Here is a 16,132-nt window from a genome sequence, read left to right on the forward strand (position 1 = left end):
TCCTCTCTCTGCCCCGCCCTCCCTCACTGTTCTCCAGAGGGCCCCCTGGCACACTCCCCACTCCCCGTCCACCCGCCCAATCCAGGACATCCATCTCCCATCGCTGCCTCCACTCTCCTCCCCACATCCTCTCTTGGTTCCCATCACTGAGCCACCTGCCACCTCCCCACACACAGGTCTCCTCCCTCCCCCAGTGTCTCCCTCTCTGGCCTGGGTGGGGAATTCCTGAGTCACCATCACTTAGGCTTGGAGCCTCCCGGGGTAGTAGGGGGCCTCTAGGAGGGACCTGAAGAGCACAGTTGACCAGGCTTCAGTGGGGTGGTCTTGGCCTGGGCTGTCTCAGGGTGGCCTCTGGGATCTATTCTGGGCTCCAGGCCCCGGGGCTGAGGACATTGCCCAGGGATTGAGAAATGACCAGGAAATTCCTCTCTGATGTAGTGTTTTCCAGACACCACTGAGAGTTCTGGTCCCTGGACACAATTCACTCCTTCCAGAAAGCTGAGGAAGGAGGCTTGGCCAGAGAGAGACATGCCAGTCCCTCGAGCCTGTCCCTGGGCACCCAGCTCACCCTGCAGAGACCCGAGAAGAAAGCATGAAGGGGTGTATTTGGTGTCCAGTTGTCAGGGACAGGCTTGGGAGACTTCCATGGCCCATGATGGAAAGGTAGCACTGGGCCACCGTCCGACTTCTCGCACAGCACCCCTAGGCCCCAGGCCAAGCTCTGGTGACCTTGACCTTCAGGAATCATATTTTGATCACAGGAAGCTGTCCACAGCTCCAACATTGCTGCCATGTGTCCCCCACCCTCCCCAAACACAGCCAAGCCACCACCGCTGCAGCCTCGGGCCAGTGTGACAGACCCACATGTTCCCGCTACCCGCACAGCGTTCACGGGTCTCCCTTCCCACGGAGTCGGTGGCTTCCCAGGCAGCCTCCCAGCCCAAAAGGGCCAGATAAAACCTCAGAGACCCTCTCTGAGCCCCGCTGTTTCTCAGGGGGACGGTCTCAGATCCATTCGACTTGGCTTCCTGTTTCCATCTGACCACCTTTTTTCTTGCTGCGAGATGGTCCCAGGTGAGGAGAGGGAGCTGGTAGACTTCAGCCTCCTTCTCTGTGCGTGGGGTAACACGGGCCTCAGGGACCTGGTGGCCAGCCTCGGCCTGCAGCACATCCCAGATTGGTCTTTGTAACAAGGAGAGAGGCTGTGCGGGTGTCTCTTGTCCAAGGCCAGGAGGGATGTGTCCAACCCAAGGACTGGACTGTGGGCAGCTGCCGTCTTGCCCTCTGTACCCCGGTGTGTGACCACAACCCCTTTGCCCCTCCCCCCCATCTCCCTATCACCCTTGCCCAGCTGGCACCCGCAGCTTCCAGCAGGATGGACGCCCAAGTTCCAGCCCCACCGTGGCTCCCTAAGGGACCCCCCAGCCCTGCTCTGGGGGTGCCTGTACATGTGGGCTCCAGGTCCTGCCACGTTGTCCCGCCTCATGCCGTGAGGTCCCCAGACAGACCAGAGGGAACTCAGGAAGTTATATCATATTAATGAAGGATGATGCCTGGCAGGCGTGCATCTTGTTTCGGCATCGGGGGGGCCTCTGGTTCCCGGAGACTCCCTCTCTCGCTTCCTGTTACAAGGACGGTTAACATTCAGGAAGTCCCCTCTGCTCCCATGCCCAGTGGGACCACAGTCAAACCCTTGTCCCTTCCAGGCCTCAGTTTCTTTTTTGTTGTTGTTTTTCTTTTTGCTTGTTTGTTTTTGTTTTGAGATGGAATCTTGCTCTGTCACCCAGGCTGGAGTACACTGGCATGATCTCAGCTCACTGCAACCTCCGCCTCCCGGGTTCAAGCGACTCTCGTGCCTCAGCCTCCCGAGTAGCTGGGATTACAGGCATGTGCCACTGCGCCCAATTTTTATATTTTTAGTAGAGGTGGGGTTTCACCATGTTGGCCAGGCTGGTCTTGAACGCCTGACCTCAGGTGATCCGCCCGCCTCGGCCTCCCATAGTGCTGGGATTACAGGCGTGAACCACCTTGCCTGGCTGTTCGTTTGTTTTTGAGACAGGGTCTTGCTCTGTCACCCAGGCTGGAGTGTAGTGCTGCAATCTCGGTTCACTGCAACCTCTACCTCTGGGGTTCAAGCGATCCTCCCACCTCAGCCTCCTGAGTAGCTGGGACTACAGGCACCCACTGCCACGCTAGCTAATTTTTGTATTTTTGTAAAGACAGGGTTTCACTGTGTCACCCAGGCTGGTCTCAAACTCCTGGACTCAAGTGATCTGCCTACCTCGGCTTCCCAAAGTGCTGGGATTATAGGCCACCACGCCTGGCCTCAGGCCTCAGTTTCCCCGCCGATGCCACTAGGAGTCATGAGCCCTCGCAACCCCAGGATCGGTTCTGTGTTCCTGCATCAGGAGCAGGTAGGGGTGGCAGTGACTGTGACTCCCTCCTAATGAGGGGACTGAGTTCCCCAGAGTCCGTACTGGCGCCAGACATGCCTCAGTCACCTTGCCCTGAAACCCAGCCTCCTGCTTGGCCGTGGCCCCAGCTAGCCGGGCCAAGCCCACAGCAGGGTCCACACGGGGGTTCCACTCCCCAGCCAGGTGCCTTGGGGTGAGAAATCACCCACGGTGCGTTGTGCCAGGGGCAGCTTCCAGGGTGGGCGGAGCTATGGAAGGAACTGCCCTGGGGGCGTGGGTCCGTAGCCTCCATCTCACACTCTCTCCACCCATGGCGAGGAACAGGACCAGGCCTCCCTGAGGGGGACCCTGAAGCAGCAGGGAAAAAGAGGAAGGACAGCTCAGAGACCACTGAGATTAGGGACGCACACACAGCACCCGGGAGGGGAGAGAGATTGAGGCTAGTGTGCTGGGGACTGTGGGTGTGTAACCGGATTGTGACTCTCTGTAGAGTTAGTGCGGCCCATGTGACCTAAGTGAGCATTTTTCTCAGCATTGATTGTGTTTGCGTGTGTATTGTGTGTATATGTGTATTGTGAGCTCGTGGGACTCTGTGTGCACATGGGCACACAGCTATGTTGTAGTTTTGTTTTGTTTTTGAGATGGAGTCTTGCTCTTTTGCCCAGGCTGGAGTGCAGTGGTGCCATCTCGGCTCACCACAACCTCCACCTCCCAGGTTCAAGTGATTCTCCTGCCTCAGCCTCCCGAGTAGCTGGGATTACAGGCACCTGCCACCACGCCCAGCTAATTTTTGTATTTTAGTACAGATGGGATTTCACTATGTTGGCCAGGCTGGTCTCAAACTCCTGATCTCAGGTGATCCGCCGGCCTCAGCCTCCCAAAGTTCTGGGATTACAGGTGTGAGCCACCGTGCGCAACCTAGTTTTTTTGAGACAGGGTTTCACTCTGTCACCCAGGCTGGAGTGCAGTGGCACGATCTCAGCTCACTGCAACCTCTACCTCCCAGGCTTAAGCAATCTTCCCACCTCAGCCTCCCAGATAGCTGGGACCACAAGTGCTCACCACCATGCCCAGCTAATACTTTTATTGTTTTGTAGAGATAGGATCCCACTATGTTGTCCAGGCTGGTCTCAAATTCATGGGCTCAAGTGATCCTCCCACCTTGGCCTCCCAACGCACTGGGATTACTGGCATGAACCATGGCACCTGGCCGAGAATGGTTTTTGGTTTTTTTGTTTGTTTGTTTGTTTGTTTGTTTGAGATGGAGTCTCACTCTGTTGCCCAGGCTGGAGTGCAGTGGTGCCATCTCCGCTCACTGTAACCTCTGCCTCCCAGGTTCAAGCGATTCTCCTGCCTCAGTCTCCCAAGTTGCTGGGACTACAGGTGCGAGCCACCATGCTCAGCTAATTTTTGTATTTTTAGTAGAGATGGGATTTCGCCATGTTGGCCAAGCTGGTCTTGAACTCCTGACCTCAAGTGATCTGCCTGCCTTGGCCTCCCAAAGTGCTGAGATTACAGGCGTGAGCCACCGCGCCTGGCTGAGGATGGGTTTTGAAGTTCATCTCCACCACTCACCAGTCAGTCACCATGTGACCTGAGAAAATGACTTCCCCTAGCAAAGCTTTGATGTTCTTCGTCAAATGGCTGCCTTGACCTTGTTGGGGTGTTATGTGAAGATAAGAGACAGTTCCCCCTGCCTGCCTCCCAGGAAGCCCTCAAATAGCTGTTGATATTATTCATTCAACAAACCGTAACCAGCAGTTTACTGTGTGCTAAGAGCTGGGGACACAGAGGGGCTCAGAGGGCACAGCCCAGGAAGAGTGTTCTCAAACAGGTTTGTCCACCCAGTGTGGGGATCCTGAGCAGGGGTGCCTGCATCTGTTTTTTTTTGTTGTTGTTGTTCTGAGATGGAATCTCGCTCTGTCGCCCAGGCTGGAGTGCAGTGGCGAGATCTCAGCTCACTGCAACCTCCACCTCCCGAGCTCAAGCGATGCTCCTGCCTCAGCCTCCTGAGTAGCTGGGACTTCAGGTGCCCGCCACCATGCCTGACTAATTTTTGTATTTTTAGTAGAGGCGGGATTTCGCCATGTTGGCCAGGCTGGTCTCGAACTCATGACCTCAAGTGATCCGCCCAACTTGGCCTCACAAAGTGCTGGGATTACAGGCTTGACCCATCACGCCCAGCCCAGGCCTGCATCTGGAAGTGCCGCAGACCTAAGATCCTGGCTTGCCCTGGGCCTGACCCTCTCCGGACTCCCTGGTTTCCGTCCTCCTGGCTCTGGCCCTGGGAGGAAGTGGGCCTTATCTCATGTTCTGCACACACGCACCACCAGCTGCTCGTGCCTGCCAGGCCTCCCGTCTGCCTGCTGTGCCCTCTCACTGCTTTGAGAAACTGCTATGTGTGTCCCAGACCTGTCTCGCCTTGGCTGGTTCCAGCATCCAGAGCCAGAGGCCTCCTTTCTCTATCCACTCACTGCCCTCCACCGCAAATGGGCCCTGGCCTACCTTCTGGTGGCTGCACCTCACCTTGCTCCAGGGGGCATAACCCAGTCTCCTGCCTACCCTGCCTCTGAATGGGCCGTGCCCCTCACCTGGGGATCCCCTCATTTCCTAGCCTTCAAGGCCTCTTGGTCACCCCCTGAGCCTCTCCTGAGCGGTCGTCCATCAGATCCTCCCACTCCCATTCCAGTCTCAAACCCCAGCTGGTTACCTCTCCATGCCTGTTTCTCTCTCTCTCTCTCTCTTTTTTTTTTTTTTTTTTTTTTTTTTGAGATGGAGTCTTGCTCTGTCCTCAGGCTGGAGTGCACTGGTGCGATCTCGGCTCACTGCAACCTCTGCCTCCTGGGTTCAAGCGATTCTCGTGCCTCAGCCTCCCGAGTAGCTGGGATTACAGGTACACGCCACCATGCTCAGCTAATTTTTGTATTTTTAGTAGAGACGGGGTTTCACCATGTTGGCCAGGCTGTCTTGAACTCCTGACCTCAAATGATCCGCCTGCCTTGGCCTTCCAAAGTGCTGGGATTACAGGCATGAGCTACTGCGCCCGGCCCCATGCCTGTTTTCCTTGTCTGTAAAATGGGGATAAACAGAGTCACCTTGAGGGCTATCGTGAGCATTGAGCAAGATGGGACTGTTGAACTGTTCCCCTAGGAAGCGATGGCCAAGATTGCAGCTCCTGCTGGCTCTAGGCTTTCCCTCCCCCGCTGTACTCCTTCGGCCAAGCCAAGCGCTGCTCTGAGCGCCTGGGTTGGGGTGCAGCGTGCGATGTGGGTGCAGAGGGAAGACAGCCTGAAACAGGGCAGCTGAGAGCCCTTGGGGTCTGGAGGAACAAGCACCTCGCCCTGCATGCACCTCTACCTCTTGGCCTGTCTCTGACCCCCAGCATGGGCCTGGCCCCAGAGCTGACTTCACCCCTGGGGGTGGCAGGAAGCAGCAGCTGGTGACCAGAAGCTGGTGCTGCTACAAGGCAGTAAATTTAATAAGATTATTCGGATCTGTTCTCATGGAGGCTGGGCACGCAGGGACCTGCCCTGTCCCTCCTGGATTGTGACTTCTGACTTCTCCTTTCCCGTAGCCTCAGTTCCCCATCCTCCCCCTCCAGAAAGACACCTCCTTCTGGTCCCCTCTGTGTCCCACTCCCACCAGCCCTCCCTTCCCCCAACCCAGGTCCCATTCAGCTGCTTACATCTCCATAGTTTCTGTCCCCCAGGACCAGGAATGTGAAGGAGGAAGGGTTTGCACTACGCAGCTCTGAGATTCCAGGGCTCGAAGGATCTAGCTCCCAAGAGCCTAGGCTCAGGAACTCCTTACACTTCTTCTGAGATGCTGAACTCTGGAATCCTAGGGTGCAGGACCCCAGGATCTTGGCCCCATAGGATTGAAAGATGCTGGAATTCCAGCCCTCAGAGGTCCTGGGATCCTAGATTCCTTTGCATTTCAGGTTCTGAGCTGTAAGGATGCAGGATCTGTGAATTCTGGAATCCTTCTAGCTCCTTCCTGCCCAGCTTCTCTCCCCGCTCCTCCTCCACACCCTAGCTCATCTCTGGCTCACTCCCTGTCCCCCGTCTCCCCCGGGGCTCCCACAGACATGATGCAACCAGGCCGGAGCCAAGCCAGCTCAGAGGTGGGAAGCAGGAGGGAGATGTAATTACAGACGCTCCTGCCTGGATCCTACAGGAAACTCAGAGTAGGGGCCCGGGGGACCCTAATCCAATGTGAATAATGGAGCAGACTTGTGCACATTCCCCCTGTGGAGGGGAGGCCCAGCAAGCCACCTCCAGCCAGACCCAGGGTCCAGCCTCCACCAGCCCCAAGCTGGGGAGCCTGAGTATTAGACAAGATAAGAAGAGATGAGGGAGAGGAGAGGGGGTGATCCTCCAGCCCTTGGGCCAACCAGGTAAAATAATTGGCCAAACCTACAGCTTCCCTGGCCTGCATTCTCCCCATTTTCAATGGAGACACAGAACATTTCATTTTTCTTTTCTTTTCTTTGCTTTTTTTTCTTTTGAAATAGAGTCTCACTCTATTGCCCAGGCTGGAGTGCAGTGGCGTGGTCTTGTCTCACTGCAACCTCCACCTCCCAGGTTCAAGCGATTCTCCTACCTCAGCCTCCTGAGTAGCTGGGATTACACGTTCATGCCACCATGCCCAGCTAATTTTTGTCTTCTTAGTAGAGGCGGGGTTTCACCATGTTGGCCAGGCTAATCTTGAACTCCTGACCTCAAGTGATTTGCCCACCTCGGCTTCTCAAAGTGCTGGATTTATAGGCGTGACCCACCACGCCCAGCCATTTTATTTCTCATTCCTCCATAAGAAGCCCCCGACACAGGCTTCAGGTTAAATGGCAACTGGTCCCCAGCTTCCTTGACCAGAAGACAATAGGGCATGGTGGGGACTTTGGTGAGCTGGAAAGCCCAGGCACCGTCTCACAGCCTATGCGTCACCAGACCTTACAATTTCAAAGAAGACTTTGCAATTCCAGAGGAATATGGACTTTGATGTGAAATATCTGTGTTTTTCAATTGGCAGCCAAGTCAAGAACATCTTTAAACATCATGTAAAGCCATAAAAATATAACTGCGGCCAGGCGGGTGGGTCACGCTTGTAATCCCAGCACTTGGGAGGCCGAGGCAGGCGGATCACTTGAGGTCAGGAGTTCAAGACCAGCCTGGCCAACATGGTGAAACCCCACCTCTACTAAAAATACAAAAATTAGCTGGGCGTGATGGTGCATGCCTGTAATCCCAGCTACTTGGGGGGCTGAGGCAGGAGAATTCCTTGAACCTGGGAGGCGGAGGTTGCAGTGAGCCAAGATCCTGCCGCTGCACTCCAGCCTGGGTGACAGAGCGAGATTCCGTCTCTCTCTCTCTCTCTTTCTCTCTCTCTCTCTCTATAGATAGATAGATAGATAGATAGATAGATAGATAGATAGATAGATAGATCTGCAAGCTACGTATGTCCTGCAGGCCAGCAGTATGTGAATTGGAAAACAGAGGGCAGGAACCAGAGCTGTCACAGTCATCCCTTTGTCTCCAGAAAAATGACAAAATAGAAGAAGAATGAAGGAATGTACTCATTATTTTCTTTCCTCTCCCTCCCTCTAGCCATGTTTCTCTCTTCTGGGTCCCCAAATTTTATTACCACCATGTTCCAGCTCAGATGTCACCTCCTCCAGGAAGCCCTCCCTTACCTCCAAGCTGAGTCAGGAGTTATCTCTGCGCTCCCCCACCCAGCACTGCGCACTCTGGGTTTTTACCATCTGGGGACAGGTCTTTCTCTCCTACTGGACTCTGAGCCCCAAGAGGGCAGGGCAGGGCAGAGCCAAGGCTGTCTTGGTCACAGCCATGTCCCTAGCATTGCCCAGCGCTGGTCAGAGAGTAGGTACTCAGGGAGTGTTTGGAAGAATGAATGAGTGAATGAACAAGTGAGCAGGGAAAAAGTGCAGGGCTTTAGGACAGAAGTGGGCCTGCGGTAGAGGGGAACCAGGTGTGAAAACAGGAGTCGTTAAGGGGGTGAGAAGTGTGGGATGGGGACTGGGGACCCTAAGAATGTCCAAGCCAGTGGGGAGGAGAGGAGAGAGGATGGCGGAGGGGTTCAGGGAGCACTGGAGTACCCCCGTCAGCGCTCTGTTACCGCCTAGCTTTGTGACTCTGAATAAAGGACTTCCTTTGGCTCAGTTTCCTCTTGGGTATCATACAAGTAGTTAGCTGTCTTCTGGGGCTGTCGGGACCATTAAGTTCAGGATCGACCGTGGAGGAGAGAGCACCGAATACTCATCTCCTCCGAAGCTTTGGTGGAGTCGTACTCCCTCCACGTCCACCCCTACCCCCAACACACACACTCAGAAGGAATGAGAACGGACACAGCTTCCCCTACGGTGGCCCCAAGCTCTGTGCGTGCCTCAGTCTCCCTGAAAGCACAGGCACCACCACAGTTACCAAGTTTATTGGATCCATACTTTGGCAGGGGAGGGTAAGCTGTCCGGAGGGCTCAGAGCAGAACACAAAAGAGGCGCTTGTCGCGGAAGGGGTTCTCCGCGGCGGGTACTGGCGTCACCAGCGGGTCATCTTTGGCATGCGTCTCGCAGAAAGCCAGGAGTTCCGCTGCTGCCTGCGACACCTGCGAGCACCCGGGTGGAGATGTCACCGCCCTGCCCGGCTCCTTGGAGCCGCCCACTTAGGCCCCGCCTCTTGCCCTGTCCCCTCCTCCCACCTTGCCCCGCCCCATACAGGCCTTTCCCCTTGTCTTACTCCGCCCCCTCGTCCTGGCCCCTCCCCTGTCCTACCCCGCCCCTCGTCCTGGCCCCTCCCCTGCCCCATCCCTCCCCTCGTCCTGGCCCCTCCCCTGTTCTGCCCCTCCCCTCGTCCTGGCCCCTCCTCCTGCCCTGCCCCGCCCCTTGCCCAGCCCTGTTCCCAGGGGCATCCTTGCACTATGGCTCCGAGCCGGGCCGACACAGCCCCGGACAGACCGCAGGCCCAGAACCCCCGCCCTATTCCCCACCCCGACCCAGCACCTTCATGCGGTCGATGTTCACCTCCAGCTTCAGCTGTTCCACCGTCTTGCGGGCCTCGGCAATCTTGGCCATGTTGTTGGACATGGTTGCGGCGGGGAAGGGGTTAAAAGACGCGCGGGAGTGGGGGCTGTGGGGGTAGGTTAGGATACGTCTGGGTCCCGAGGTGGGGGCGAGAGGGCGGGCCCCGGTAACAGGTGCGAGGGTGGAAGGGCGCGTGAATGGGGTGGCCAGGGGCTGGTGGAGGGAGGGACAGATGAAGGGGACAGGAACAAGAGGAGCGATGGAGGGGTGCACGGATGGAGGTAGCTAAGGCAGGTGGGGAGAGAGCAGGGAGGGGCGAGGGAGGGAAGGAGGGGCGCACAGATGGGAGGCTGAGACAGAAGGACAGGGCCACAGGTGCTGGATCAGAATCCAGGTGTCCTCACCCCCGGGGGCAGAGCGAGAGCCAGGAGGGGGGCCCCTCCCCCAGGCCAATTAGCAGTGGCTCCAGGGAGAACTGGGAATTAAGATCGCGGCGGGAGGGGCACAGAGGGGGCCTCATTAGGGCCTTGGCAGCAGCTGCCCTCTCCGCCACCCTCAGGGAGCCCCCCCACCCTAGCCCTGGTCACCTCAAAGCCTCCTCTGCTCATTAGCAGCCAGGGCAGAGGGCTGGGGGAGCCCAACTCGGGCACCTGAGGAGAGGCCTATCGGATGGACAGAGGGACAACGGGACGCGCAGAGGCAGAGACAGAGTAATGGAGGGAGAGACTGAGGCACGGGAGAAATGAAGAGACGGGGAGGAATAGAGAGAGGGAGAGACTGGGGGAGGAATGAAGTGATGGAGGAGAAAATAGAGGGACAAATGAAGGGGGGAGCAAGGAACAGGGTGATACAAGGCGACAGGCACCGAGGGGACAAAGGGACAGAGGGGACAGAGCAGGGGAGATGGAGGGAGGGGGTGTGGGGTGGGAGAGGATGGGGAGATGGAGGGAGGGGGTGTGGGGTGGGAGAGGATGGAGGAGATGGACGGATGGGGTGGGAGAGGATGGGGAGATGGAGGGAGGGGGTGTGGGGTGGGAGAGGATGGGGAGATGGAGGGAGGGGGTGTGGGGTGGGAGAGGATGGGGAGATGGAGGGAGGGGGTGTGGGGTGGGAGAGGATGGAGGAGATGGAGGGAGGGGGTGTGGGGTGGGAGAGGATGGAGGAGATGGACGGATGGGGTGGGAGAGGATGGGGTGATGGAGGGAGGGACGAAGGAGAGAGAAGGGGAAATGGAGGAAGGGGGGAGGGAGGAAGGAGCAGAGACACCAAGGAGATAAAGGAACAGAGACGGGGAGATAGAGGGACAGAGGAAAGAAGGGAAGGACAAAGAGGGAGATGGAGGGGTTGGGGAGAGATGGAAACAGAAAGTGGGAGAGAGGAACAAGGCGAGAGACAGGCTGATGGAGACGCAGAAGAATTCATTCACTCACTCATTCACTCATTCACTCATTCATTCCCAGGCGGAGAGACGGTGGCCACGGAGCAGGCAAAGGGACCAGCTGTGGGGCCGGGACCGGAGCTTCCTACCTGTTGCTGCTCTGGGCCGGGCTCGCGGCGGTGACAGAGGCTGGGAGGCAGCGTCTGGGTCCCTCCGGCCCGCCCCGCCCCCTCCCCTGGGGCGCAGCCCCTACGGACCCGCCTCCTCCCGGAGCCACCGTCCCCGCCGCCCCGCCACCTTGGGGCTCCCTCTCTGGGCCCTCTCTCTTGTCTGTCAGTCCTATCTTTGTCCCTCTCCCTGTGTCTCTGCCGCTGCTGTCCTATTGTGTGACTCTCTCTGTGCCTCTCTCACACTCACTAGAAAACACAGTCTCTCTAGGTGGGCCCCGGGCCTCGCTACATTTAATCCACAGTCACAACAAACCTCTCCAGTGTGTCCCACAGAGCCGCTCACTCAGCCACACTCGCCACCTCGGTGTCACCACCCCCCTCCAGCCTCATGCTCACTGTCCCTCACACAGACAAAAACTATCTTGCCCTGTCACACGGTAGCACCACACAACCTCACGAATGACCTTGCTCAACACAACCTCACACGGTTGCCCCAAATGCCACACACAGCCGCCACCAATGGCAGCTCCAAGCGCTACACAGTCAGATAAATTATCTCAGAGCACCAAATGTACCACAGTGTCACACATAATGTCTCCAAATGTCACACACATTTGCATGCCTTTTTTTTTTTTTTTTTTTGAGATGAAGTCTCGCTGTGTTGCCCAGGCTGGAGTGCAGTGGCCCAATCTCAGCTCACTGCAACCTCCGCCTCCTGGGTTCAAGCCATTCTCCTGCCTCAGCCTCCTGAGTAGCTGGGATTACAGGTGCCTGACACCACGCCCGTCTGATTTTTGTATTTTTCGTAGAGACAGGGTCTCACAATGTTGGCCAGGCTGGTCTTGAACTCCTGACCTCAGGTCATCCACCCGCCTCGGCCTCCCAAAGTGCTGGGATTACAGGCGTGAGCCACCGCGCCTGGCCTTGCATGCCATTTAAACTCTCTCAATCTCACACCCTGTCCCAGTCTCACACTTTCTGTGTCTCACGGTGGCATGCAATTACCCAATACAACCTGTCAAGTACACACTGTTTTATAGTATTTCATAGTAACACCCAGTCGCCTGTCCAGTGACAACCATGGAAGGTCACATACATTCTCTCACAGTCTCCTGGTGTCACACGCATCTGACACATTCCCTCCATACACAGTCTGTCCCTGTCACACACACGCACGCAACCCATCTCCTGGTGTCATACCTAGCTACCCACGATGGCTCAGTGTCTCACAGAGTCCCACACAAGCTCGCAGCGTTTCACACACTCACTCCCACCTCTCCATCATCTCTTGCCTTCTACACACAAGGCCTCCCTCACGCTCTCGCTTCCGAGTGCCCTGCACAGCCGCAAACTCTCGCATGCACTGTCACAACGCTGCCATCTCTCACCAGCTCAGTGTCACACATAGTCACGCAGTTTTGTTTTGTTTTTTGAGACAAGGTCTCTCTCTCTGTCACCCAGGCTGGAGTGCAGTGGCGCGATCTTAGCTCACTGCAGCCTCCACTTCCCAGGCTCAAGCGATCCTCCAACCTCAGCCTCCCAGTAGCTGGGACCACAGAGGTACATAACCGCACCTGGTTAATTTCTTTTATTTTTATTTTGGTAGAGACGGCGGGGGTGGGGGGAGGGGTCTCCCTATGTTGCCCAGGCTGATCTCAAACTCCTGGCCTCAAGGGATCCTCCCGCCTCAGCCACCCAAAGTGCTGGGATTACAGCAATGTGCCCGGATCACGCACTTTTTCACAAGCCATACACAGAGTGGCCAACACAGACTGACACTCACTGTGTCTGTCCCACCCAGGCCCCCTATGTGCCTCTCATGACACCTGCCCACACCACCTCTCAGTGTACATCAGTCATCAGTCTCACTCTCTCTCACACAGAATCTACTTGTGTGACACACACAGCACCGTATGCTCACCATGTTGCACACAGCCACACACACTGCCCCCTCACACGCACCGTCACACACGGTCTCTCACTCCCACATACGGTCTCTCAATGTCCCATACAGAGCCCCAAAGAGTGTCTCTCCCACACCCGATCACACATAACCTTTCATCAGCACACACAGTCACCCACAATCTCTCAGCATCACCAGTAATCTCAGTGTCACACACAGTCAGCGACATGTCATCTCTGACATATGCAGTCCCACTCAGTCTCTCCTTGTCGCACATAATCTCATATCAATCAGTCACACACAGACTCCCAGCACCACACACCATCTCACCAGTACACCATCATGGCAGTACACACTCATGGTGTCCTGGTCCTGGCACTGCACACCATCTCACGGCAGTCGACACTCACACAGTTTCCTGGCGTCGTACACCATCTCACAGCAGTACACACTCACAGATCTCCTGGAGTCACACACCATCACGGCAGTACACACTCACACACTCTCCAGATGTCTCACGCCGTCTCCCGGCAGTACACACTCACACAGCCTCCAGGTGTCACACGCCATTTCCCAGTGTCACCGCGAACACCAGCGTCCCCCGCTCCCCAGCACTCCCCTTTTGGCGCTCACACGCAGCGTCTGCCGGCCACATGAGGGCGCGCGCAGCACGCCCAGGCGCCCACCCTGCCCCGAGAGGCCGCAGGGAGGAGGTGGCCACAGGGAGGAGGGCCAGGCGGGAGATGAAGGGGAGACTCGGGACCAGAGGAAGCACGGCAGGGAGCCAGGGACCGGAGGGAGAGGACAGAAGATGGACACAGAGAAATTCACAGACAGGGGAGGGAGATGCAGGGAGAGTCAGAGAGACGCAGGGGGCTATAGGGACACAGATTTAGAGAAGGAGCGAGCTAGGGACTCAGAGAGACAGAGACGGGGAGGGCGCTGCGGAGAGAGGGACAGGAGAGGCAGAGACAGACAGGACACAGAGAGACCGGGGTAGGAGAGAGACACCCAAGCCGAAACTCAGAGACAGGGACGAAGACGCAGACACACAGAGATGGAGGCAGAGGCGGCCAGAGAGACAAAGAGATGCACAGAGGGCGCCTTCCAGTGGGGACCCGACGACGGAGGCGGGGCCTGCAGAGGCGCGACCGAAGGGGAGGGGTCCGGGGCGGGGTTTCTAAGGGGGCGTGCCCCTCGGTGTACCTGGGGGCGTGTCCCGATGGACGGGGCTTGGGGTTCTTTCTGGACCTGGAGAAGGCGGGAGCCCTAGGAAGAGGTGGAGGTGGGGAGGAGCATCTTTACTGCAGTCGGCCCACCCTAACTCGGTTTTCACCGCCTGGACAGGGAAGGGAGACGGGCGGGGAGGGGACCCCGACCCGAGTCCCTGGTGGAGATTTGGGTCTCGGACCCTAGCTCCCCTCCCCCCTCCCCTTGCGGGCTCAACGGGGCCAGATAAAGGAGGGAAACCAAGCCCACATCTGGAAAGCATCAGGCGCGCCGGACGTGCCAGGGCCCCAGGCCCGGCTGCGGAAGAGGGGAGGGGAGCCAAGGCGCTCCTCGCCCCGCCATCGGGGTCCGCCGGCGCCGAGGAGGGGCCTGGGCGTGTGCCGAGCCTCCGCGCCTCTCGCAGCTGGTTTCTATCAGCAGTCTGGCCTGGGCAGCCCCCGAGGAGGAAACCAGCTCAGAGAGGGGGAAGACAGGGTGACGATCCAGTCTTCCCTCCCGCTCCTCCACCGCGGCCAGAAGCTGGGGGATGGGGGAGACGGACAGACAGACACTGCCTGCCGTGAGCGCAGCCTCCGTTCCTCTCCTGAGCTGCAGACCGCAGCAGATGACCTCAGTTCCTGTCCTGTGCCCCAGCCTCATGACAGCCTAGCGCTTGAAGGCATTACAGTCCCCATTTTTTGGAAGAGGAAACTGAGGCCCTGGATTCGGATTCCGTTCTGACGTTAATTATTCAAGAAATCATCAACAAACGGCAAGAGTGAATTCCAGGATCAAATACCCAGCCGCCTGGGTGTTTAGTGGGTCTCTCGAGCTCAACGCATCCAATACTGAGCTGATTCCATCGACCAAAATTCGCTCTTATTTCAGGTTTACCCATCTCAAGTGATGGTAAATCTCTGAGTTTTTGTTGTTGTTTTGAAACAGGGTCTTGCCTGTCGCCCAGGCTGGAGTGCAGTGGTGCAATCATAGCTCACTGCAGCCTGAACTCCTGGGCTCAAGTGATCCTCCTGCCTCAGCCTCCCCGGTAACTGGGACTACAGGCATGCACAACCATGAACAGGTTTTGTTTTGTTTTTTAACAGAATCTCACTCTGTCACTCATGCTGGTGTACAGTGGCACAATCTCGGCGCGCTGCAACCTCCGCCTCCCAAGCTCAAGCAATTCTCATGCCTCAGCCTCCTGAGTAGCTGGGATCACAGGCATGTGCCACCAAATCCGGCTACTTTTTTTGTATTTTTAGTAGAGATGGGATTTCACCATGATGGCCAGGCTGGTCTCAAACTTTGGCCTCAAGTGATCCACCTGCCTCAGCCTCCCAAAGTGCTGGGATTACAGGCGTGAGCCACTGTAACCAGCCTAACTTTTTATTTTTTTTTAGAGGCAGGGTCTGGCTATGTTGCTTAGGCTGGTCCTGAACTGTGAGCCACCACACCTGGGCTGGGGTCATCCTTGACTCCCCGCCTTCTCTCACACTCCACAAGTCACCAAGTAAGACATCCTGTTGGCTTTATCTTCAAAGCAATTCCAGAATCCAATCCCTCTCACTTCCTCTGCTGTCCCCACTTGGGTCCAGACACCGTTCCCTCCTGCTTGGACTATTACAGTGACCTCTGCATTGACCTCCTATCTTCTCCCTGTCCCCCTCAGCCTGTTTCCCACAGAGCAGCCAAAAGGACACTGTTTCAAACTGTCCCCATATAATAGCAAGTGAGTATGTGGAGCAACCTGAACCCTCATAAGCTGGTGGGGATGTAAAATGGTGAAGTCGCTTTAGGAAACAACCTGGCAGGCCGGGCGTGGAGGCTCATGCCTGTAATCCCAGCACTTTGGGAGGCTGAGGCGGGCAGATCACTTGAGGTCAGGAGTTCAAGAGCAGCCTGGGCAACATGGTGAAACCCCATCTGTACTAAAAATACAAAAATTAGCTGAGCATGGTGGTGCACGCCTGTAATCCCAGCTACTTGGGAGGCTGAGGCAGGAGAATCGCTTGAACCTGGCAGGTG

The 16,132-nt window shown here is 56.9% G+C and overlaps 1 protein-coding gene across 4 annotated transcripts, besides 6 other annotated features; it reads right to left on the reverse strand.

The window, feature by feature from the left end:
* Window positions 132-632: an enhancer, noted in NCBI's record as "H3K4me1 hESC enhancer chr19:47128561-47129061 (GRCh37/hg19 assembly coordinates)". NCBI's record gives its function as "activates a minimal SCP1, AML or CMV promoter by ChIP-STARR-seq in naive H9 embryonic stem cells {active_cell/tissue: H9 hESC(naive)}" and the evidence as "EXISTENCE:reporter gene assay evidence [ECO:0000049][PMID:30033119]".
* GNG8 (G protein subunit gamma 8) lies at window positions 8,781-14,154 on the reverse strand. Of its 4 annotated transcripts, none has more exons than XM_017027505.1 (3): window positions 14,105-14,154; window positions 9,427-9,553; window positions 8,781-9,032 (listed from the first exon to the last, which is right to left on the reverse strand). In XM_017027505.1, the coding sequence occupies exons 2-3, from the start codon at window positions 9,508-9,510 to the stop codon at window positions 8,904-8,906; spliced, it is 213 nt and encodes a 70-aa protein (XP_016882994.1). In that variant the 5' UTR covers window positions 9,511-9,553; window positions 14,105-14,154; the 3' UTR covers window positions 8,781-8,903. The 4 variants fall into 4 exon arrangements, with proteins under 4 accessions (XP_016882994.1, XP_016882993.1, NP_150283.1 ...); XM_017027504.3 differs by lacking the exon at window positions 14,105-14,154 and adding an exon at window positions 11,309-13,981; NM_033258.2 differs by lacking the exon at window positions 14,105-14,154 and adding an exon at window positions 10,975-11,030.
* Window positions 9,039-9,348: a silencer, noted in NCBI's record as "silent region_10815". NCBI's record gives its function as "represses an Ori minimal core promoter by ATAC-STARR-seq in GM12878 lymphoblastoid cells {active_cell/tissue: GM12878}" and the evidence as "EXISTENCE:reporter gene assay evidence [ECO:0000049][PMID:35858748]".
* Window positions 13,600-13,679: a silencer, noted in NCBI's record as "silent region_10816". NCBI's record gives its function as "represses an Ori minimal core promoter by ATAC-STARR-seq in GM12878 lymphoblastoid cells {active_cell/tissue: GM12878}" and the evidence as "EXISTENCE:reporter gene assay evidence [ECO:0000049][PMID:35858748]".
* Window positions 13,900-14,194: a silencer, noted in NCBI's record as "tiled region #2120; HepG2 Repressive DNase matched - State 4:PromP". NCBI's record gives its function as "represses a minimal TATA promoter and a strong SV40 promoter by Sharpr-MPRA in HepG2 cells {active_cell/tissue: HepG2}" and the evidence as "EXISTENCE:reporter gene assay evidence [ECO:0000049][PMID:27701403]".
* Window positions 14,020-14,159: a silencer, noted in NCBI's record as "silent region_10817". NCBI's record gives its function as "represses an Ori minimal core promoter by ATAC-STARR-seq in GM12878 lymphoblastoid cells {active_cell/tissue: GM12878}" and the evidence as "EXISTENCE:reporter gene assay evidence [ECO:0000049][PMID:35858748]".
* Window positions 14,390-14,489: a silencer, noted in NCBI's record as "silent region_10818". NCBI's record gives its function as "represses an Ori minimal core promoter by ATAC-STARR-seq in GM12878 lymphoblastoid cells {active_cell/tissue: GM12878}" and the evidence as "EXISTENCE:reporter gene assay evidence [ECO:0000049][PMID:35858748]".

Source organism: Homo sapiens, chromosome 19, assembly GCF_000001405.40.
Source record: "Homo sapiens chromosome 19, GRCh38.p14 Primary Assembly".
Taxonomy (NCBI): domain Eukaryota; kingdom Metazoa; phylum Chordata; class Mammalia; order Primates; family Hominidae; genus Homo; species Homo sapiens.

Bases quoted from the DNA above. Each gene is read 5' to 3' on its own strand.
- GNG8 (XM_017027505.1), bottom strand. From the start codon at position 9,510: ATGTCCAACAACATGGCCAAGATTGCCGAGGCCCGCAAGACGGTGGAA. The intron at 9,033-9,426 runs GTGCTGGGTCGG...GGGTGCTCGCAG, and splicing joins TGAACATCGACCGCATGAAG to GTGTCGCAGGCAGCAGCGGA.